The 7,490-nt window shown below is 42.7% G+C and overlaps 1 annotated feature.

The window, feature by feature from the left end:
• Positions 995-1,064: an enhancer, noted in NCBI's record as "active region_2411". NCBI's record gives its function as "activates an Ori minimal core promoter by ATAC-STARR-seq in GM12878 lymphoblastoid cells {active_cell/tissue: GM12878}" and the evidence as "EXISTENCE:reporter gene assay evidence [ECO:0000049][PMID:35858748]".

Genomic DNA, 7,490 nt, shown 5'->3' with positions numbered 1-7,490 from the left:
TTTGGTTGAAAAACTCAGCCCCTCGACTGCCTGTATTCCACCTGTATTCCCTGAGCCTGGCAGGCTAGCCCAGGCTAGACCACTGGACCCTTGAATTCTGTGACATAGTTTCTCTTGATTTAAGATTCTGAAGATGGTAAGCAGAATGATAGTTCCCCAAAGATGTCCGCATCCTAATTCCAAGAATCTGTAAATATGTCACTTTACTTGACAAAAAGGGACTTAGCAAATGTGATGAAGTTAAGGATCTTGAGATGGGGTGATTTTCCTAGATTATCTGAGTGGGCCCACTGTAATCACAGGAGTCCTTTTAAGATGGAAGGGGAGGCCAGGTGCAGTAACTCATGCCTGTAATCCCAGCACTTTGGGAGGCCGAAGTGGGCGGATCACCTGAGGTCAGGAGTTCGAGACCACCCTGGCCAACATGGTGAAACCCCGTCTCTACTAAAAACACAAAAATTAGCTGGGCATGGTGGTGTGTGCCTGTAGTCCCAACTACTCGGGAGGCTGAGGCAGGAGAATCACTTGAACCCAGGAGGCTGAGGTTGCAGTGAGCAGAGATCACGCCACTGCACTCCAGCCTGGGTGACAGAGTGAGACTCCATCTAAAAAAAAAGGATGGAAGGGGAAAGCAGGAGGGTCAGAGAGGGAAATGTGACCATGGAACAGAGGTCAGAGAGGGAAAGAGATTTGAAGATGCTGTTGTTGGTCTTGAAGATGGAGGAGGGGGCCGTGAGTTAAGGAATGAAGGTGGCCTCTAGAAGCTGGAAAAGGCAGGGAAACAAATTTTCTTCTAGAGCTTCCAGAAGGAACGAATCTCTGCTTACACCTCAATTTTAGGAGTTCTGACTTCCAGAACTGTAAGATAATAAATTTTCCTTGTTTCAAGCCACTAAATTTGTAATTTGTTGCATTAAAGCTTAGGAACCTTGGGTACTGTAATAGATTAAACATAGCACATCCTTTGCAGCTGTTCCCAGGGAGTAGAGGAAACAATTTTCCTGGTTCTTGAAGCTGACTGGCCACGTGACTTGATTTGACCAATAACACGTGAGGAATTTAGGCGCTTAGGCCTCAGGAGACCCCCCTTACAGCTTCTTCTCTCTTGCTCTTAGATGCTGCCACCATGTGGACAAGTCTGAGCTGGATTTCTGTAGTCCTCAGCTAATACCAATTGCCAGACAAGTGAGGGAAGCCACCTGGCTGAGTTGCCAGCTGACAGCAGCCATATGAGAGTTCCACGTAAAGCTAGCAGAAGAACCTCTTGGCTGCACCCCACCCAAATCAACAGCCCCTTGAGAATTATGAGCAAATAAAATGATTACTTTAAGCCACTAAGCTTTGGGGTATGGCAATAAATAAATGATAGGGGTACTTTTGAAAAATACCAATTATGCCTACCCTCCATCCCACCAGATCTAATGATGAACAGTTTCTTGGTAAGGATCTCTGCTCATATTTTTATTGTGGCTGTTGTTCATCAGCCAGGTTTGGAAATCACTACTGTAGACCTTGGAGACCAAGTCCTATTGAGTCATCTGGCTCATGGAAGGTCTTAGAAGACCAATGCACCTGCTCTATTCACAGCATTTGGGCCAAGGAACTAGTTCTCTCTCAATCACCTAGTGTACAGGTTAGGGCTTTTTCTATTGCAAATATCAAACTAAATCTGTTTAAAGAAAATGTACTAGCCGAGTGCGGTGGCTCACGCCTGTAATCCCAGGACTTTGGGAGGCTGAGGCAGGTGGATCACCTGAGGTCAGGAGTTCGAGACCAGCCTGGCCGACATGGTGAAACCTCATCTCTACTAAAAATACAAAAATTAACCAGGTGTGGTGGCGGGCACCTGTAATCCCAGCTACTTGGGAGGCTGAGGCTGGATAATGGCTTGAACCCAGGAGGTGGAGGTTACAGTGACCAGAGATTGTGCCATTGTACTCCAGCCTGGGTAACAAGAGCAAAACTGTCTCAAAAAAAAAAAAAAAAAAAAAAAGAAAAAGAAAACAAGGAAAAAAGAAAAGAAAATGTACCATATACCTTTTTTACAGTATTTTTTTAAAAGCAGTAAAGCTAAATTTGAATATGATGGGTGCCTGTCCTATCTCCATTTCTTGTTTCTATATTCCAACATGCTAGTTTCATTCTCAGGGTTCTTTTGTGCAAGCAAGATGGCAACTGCAGTTCCAAGTTCAACTCAGTAGAAAAGCTGTCTCAGTCATCCCACAGTCTCACTGTAATTCACTGGCTTTCACTGGGCCCATTCTTAAACCAAATATGCAGCCAGGAAAATGTAATACTCTGACTGGTCAGGCCTGAGGCTCCTAGACACAGCAGTAGAAACATATTGGACAGAAAGTTAGGAAAACAGTGACTTTCAGAGGAAAGTTGCTATAGCGGGTCCCAAAAAAGAGATAAGTGAATATGGTACAGCAAACACAACAGATATTCACTACAGCTAGGTGTTGGAAATCAGCTTTATCTGTGTTCTGAAAGTCCACATCAGGGTCACCAGGCTACTGGAAGTCTTTAAAATTCCCAAGTCTCAAAAGCCTGGACACCAGACTTTGAAATGCATCTTACCAAGTCACCCAAATGATGGAAGACAGGTTCCCCTCTGCCTCAAAAATGGCCCCCAAGCTCTATAAAACAATTCATGAAGTACTTCCATGCATGATAATTACAGCTCAGCAGCTAGGGGCCCTACCACCATGCCTCTGTGTTCCTAATCCTCAAATTTCATTCACCTGTCTGTACTTTAATAAAAGCCGGATTGGGGGTGTTCCAGTCAAACTTGTGCCTAGGAAGCTAATCCACTAGGGTTGTTAAAACTAAGCTGGAAATGTAAGAAGTAGGAGAATATTGTTTTTATTTAGATTACATTCATGGAGACAACCATATGTGCCTGGAAGAAATGCTTGGTTGAGCACCTAGTGGGAACAGTTGGGGGATAAGGGTAAGGCTCCCCAAAGAAATTCCAAAAAATCCTTATGATCCCTATACTGTCTCAAAGCAGGGTAGGTCCAGCTGTCCGCAGGATTGGGGAGTCTCAAGCTGGAGGTCCTCCTCTCTGCCCTTTCCTCTGCCCAGCTCAGCCCCTTCTCTAATAATGATGAGCAAATATCTGGGTTGGAGGAAAATTCAGGTGTTTCCATGGGCATTGATTAGAATGATATATGCATGGGTCTGTCTCAATCCTTGATTATTTATTAATAATCTTCATATTCCCCATGCCAGACACTAGTGGCTCTCAGCAAGGATGCTGATGTCAGCAGCATTTTAGAAATTATTCCGCAGTACATGGACATCTCTGTCTTTATTTGTCCTACTTTCCCAACATTCTACTTGCTGGTCACCTTGGCTTGAGAAAGCCTTCACTTTTGTTTGTTTGCTTGCTGCTTACTTGCTTGCTATTTAAGAGAAAAGCCTGCTCTTGTCCTGGAAGCCTGGAAACACACACAGCCTTCCTAGGCTGAGACCCCTGCAGGAACTGCAGAGATCAGGAAATATGTCTCCACTGGGCCCTGAAAACCAGCCTCTTTCCTTCAAGATTCCCAGGCCCTCCTTGGCTTTCTCTATTGTCGGGAGTTCCAGGAGCTGCTCTCTCCTCTGATGCGCTGACTACTTTCTTCTTTCTTCTTCTTCTTTCTTCTTCTTTCTTCTTCTCCTTTCTTCTTCTTCTTCTCCTTCTTCTCCTTCTCCTACTTCTTCTTCTTCTTCTTCTTTCTTCCTCTTCTTTTTCTTCTTTCTTCCTCTTCTTCTTGTGTGTGTGTGATCGTTTTAATAGTTGATACCAATACAATTTTTTAAATTATGCTTTAAGGTAAAGAGATTTGAGAGGATGTCTTTCTGTATTCTAGCTTTGTATTGAGATCAGGATTTCCAGAATCCTGTAAAACTCAGTGGCCTCCAGGTTCCAGGCTCCTTTTCACCATCTTCAGGGTCTCAGTACTGCTCTCCTGAGACACAGATAGCACTACTGAATTAGGAAATCACGGTTTTCAATGAGGGAGACACCTTTAAAGAACTCTATTTTTATCCAGTTTGTGCTCCTTAATAATATCGAAACAAAGTTCAAGAAAGGTCCACTGGAGTAAGAGCAATATGTCCTCATATCATCTTTCCGCAGAGGTGTCATAGCCCTAGGAACTGGAGAGAGCTGGAAAGGAAATCTGACTTTTTAAAATCCAGCCTCTAAAAGAACAATGGGACTGCAAGGCATTGCCTATACTCATACAGTCTTTGATTAAACAAATAGCTGGGCCAGACAAGGTGGCTTATGCCTATAATCCCAGCACTTTGGGAGGCCGAGGCGGGCAGATCACAAGGTCAGGAGTTCGAGACCAGCCTGGCCAACATAGTGAAACCCCATCTTTACTAAAAAAAAAAAAAAAATTAGCTGGGCATGGTGGCACACACCTGTAATCCCAGCTACTTGGGAGACTGAGGCAGGAGAACTGCTTGAACCTGGGGGGCAGAGGTTGTGGTGAACTGAGATCACGCCACTGCACTCCAGCCTGGGTGACAGAGTGAGACTCCGTCTCAGAAATAAAAGAAACAAAACAAAAAAACCAAATAGCTTTACCTGTAGACTACCAGAACTTCTTAAGAAATACCATCAATATTGAAGTGATCCAAAAACCACAGTTTCAGCTTCTTTTCCTCCAGATGTGTGCAACAAAATCAAACAGATTGTATTTAACAAATGTCTTTTATAGGCAAGGCCCTTTGCTAGGTGTACAGAAGGAACCAGATCCTCATTCACACCCCATGGTCTCCACGGAGGCCCCGCCTTTCTCCTGCCTGTCTTTGTTTTTCACTCACAAAGAATCACGTTCTCAGCTCACAGTCATTGAATCTGTACCTTTTACGGGAACTTAACAGCTTCCATCCACTTTTCCTAAATAGTCCTCTCATTTTTGGCTCTACCTGCCTTTCTTGGGCTGGACCTCACAAGCTCAGCATATCCCCACTGTATGACCAGGATATGTGTATTTGGGTTGCCAGGAAAAATACAGAATGCCCAGCTGAATTTACATCTCAGATAAATAATGTTTAATTTTTAGTATAAGTGTGTCCCCTGTAATATTTGGAATATAATATCCTAAAAACTGATTTGATGTTTATCTGAAATTCAAATTTAACTGAGCACTTCATGTTTTTATTTGTTAAATCTTAATACTACATGGAAGGCATAAAATCTTCAGCTGTAATTCCTTAAATTAGACTTGAAACCTAATCTTAGAAAAATCATCCTAAGTAACTTTTCCTCTTTCCCTCTTACAAACTTATATAACCTCACACCTACTCAAGTGCATATAATCTTATTCCCTAATTCTTTTTTTTAATTTTTGAATTTTTTATTGACTAATTTTTAAGGTAAATTTTATACCCAGCAAAACGCACAGCTCTTTTTTTGGGGGGGGGTGGGGGTTTGCCAATGTGCTACTTTATTTATTTATTTTTATTATTATATATTATACTTTAAGTTCTAGCGTACATGTGCACAACGTGCAGGTTTGTTACATATGTATACATGTGCCATGTTGGTGTGCTGCACCCATTAACTCATCATTTACATTAGGTTTATCTCCTAATGCTATCCCTTCCCCTCCCTCCACCCCACGACAGGCCCGGTGTGTGATGTTCCCATTCCTGTGTCCAAGTGTTCTCATTGTTCAATTCCCACCTATGAAAGAGAACATGTGGTGTTTGGTTTTTTGTCCTTATGATAGTTTGCTGAGAATGATGGTTTCCAGCTTCATCCATGTCCCTACAAAGGACATGAACTCATTCTTTTTTATGGCTGCATAGTATTCCATAGTGTATATGAATGCATGGCTCTTAAATGCATTTGTGATGAGTTTCAGCAAATGTGTACCCCTGTGCAACATACACTAAATCAAGATATAGAATATTTCCATAACTCTAGAGAGTTCCCTTGTGCCCCTCTCCAGTTAATTATCTCATCCCAGAGATAACCATCATAGATTAGTTTTGCTTGTTCTTGAACCTCATATAAATGAAATTATACAGCATGTATATATTAGTCAGTTCAGGCTACCACAACAAAAATAACATAGACTGGGTGGTTTAAACAAGAGACATTTATTCTTTCACAGTTCTGGAGGCTAGAAGTTCGAGATCAGGGTGCCAGCATGGTTGGGTCCTGGTGAGGGCCCACTTCTGGTTTGCAGATGGGTGCCTTCTCCGTGTGAGCTCACATGGCCTTTCCTTCAATAGGCCAGAAGTCTAAAGTCAAGGTGTTGGCAAAGCTGTTTCCTTCTGGAGACTCTGAGAATCTTCCATGCCTCTCTCACAGCTTCTGGTGGCTGCTGGCAATCCTTGACATTATTTAGCGTGCAGATACGTCACTTTGGTTTCTGCCTCCTTTGTCACAGGCTCTTCGTTCTTCTGTCTCTGTCTCCGTGTGTCCTCTCCTCCTTTTATAAGGACAATAGTCATTGGATTTAGGGCCTACCCTAATCCTGTTTGACCTCATCTTAGCTTAACTATGATGTCTGCAAAGACTCTGTTTCCAAATAAGGTCACATTCTGAGATTCTAGGTGGACGTGAATTTTGGAGAGACACTATTCAACCCACTACAGATAAATACCTAAGAGTTGGAATTGTTCAACCATCTTGTATACTACTTAAATTCTTATATCCCTAAATTTTACCTATGACCTTTTTGGCCCTCTTGTCTTCTAACAGTGAAAGTATGGTACTAAGGCAGCAGTTTTGAAAAATTAAAGGAATAGTAGTTGGAAAAGTCACAGCTGCCAATATATTGCTATTTATATTTCCTAGCCCTCCTATGCTATCATACCACACTTTACTGCTTCTACACTAAAGCCCACATGCTTACAGTATCAAAGTGAAACAGGAAAGAGATTCAATGGGAGTCTAGTTTCGCTGGAACTTTAGCAAGAAATGAGATTAATGTGATGTTTCTCAAACTTTGACTTGCATAAGAATCACCTGGAAGACTTCTTAAAGTGCACTGCTTTTGCAGATGACATAATCTTGTATCTGTCACATTGTATCTATACTTGCAGAAAATCCTAAGGAATCCACTGAAACATATTAGACCTAATAAATGAGTTCAGCAAGGCTGTAGGACGCAAGATCAATACACAAAGATCAATTGTATTTCTTTCTTTCTCTCTTTTCTTTTCTTTTTTTTTTTTGAGATGGAGTCTTGCTCTGTCGCCCAGGCTGGAGTGCAGTGGCCGGATCTCGGCTCACTGCAAGCTCTGCCTCCCGGGTTCACGCCATTCTTCTGCCTCAGCCTCCCGAGCAGCTGGGACTACAGGTGCCCGCCACCACACCCATCTAATTTTTTGTATTTTTAATAGAGACGGGGTTTCACCATGTTAGCCAGGATGGTCTCGATCTCCTGACCTCGTGATCCGCCCGCCTCGGTCTCCGGAAGTGCTGGGATTACAGGCATGAGCCACCACGCCTGGCCAATCAATTGTATTTCTATATG

The sequence above is a fragment of the Homo sapiens genome, chromosome 1, assembly GCF_000001405.40.
Source record: "Homo sapiens chromosome 1, GRCh38.p14 Primary Assembly".
In the NCBI taxonomy this organism is placed as follows: Eukaryota; Metazoa; Chordata; class Mammalia; order Primates; family Hominidae; genus Homo; species Homo sapiens.
This window is presented reverse-complemented; position numbering and strand designations above follow the sequence as displayed.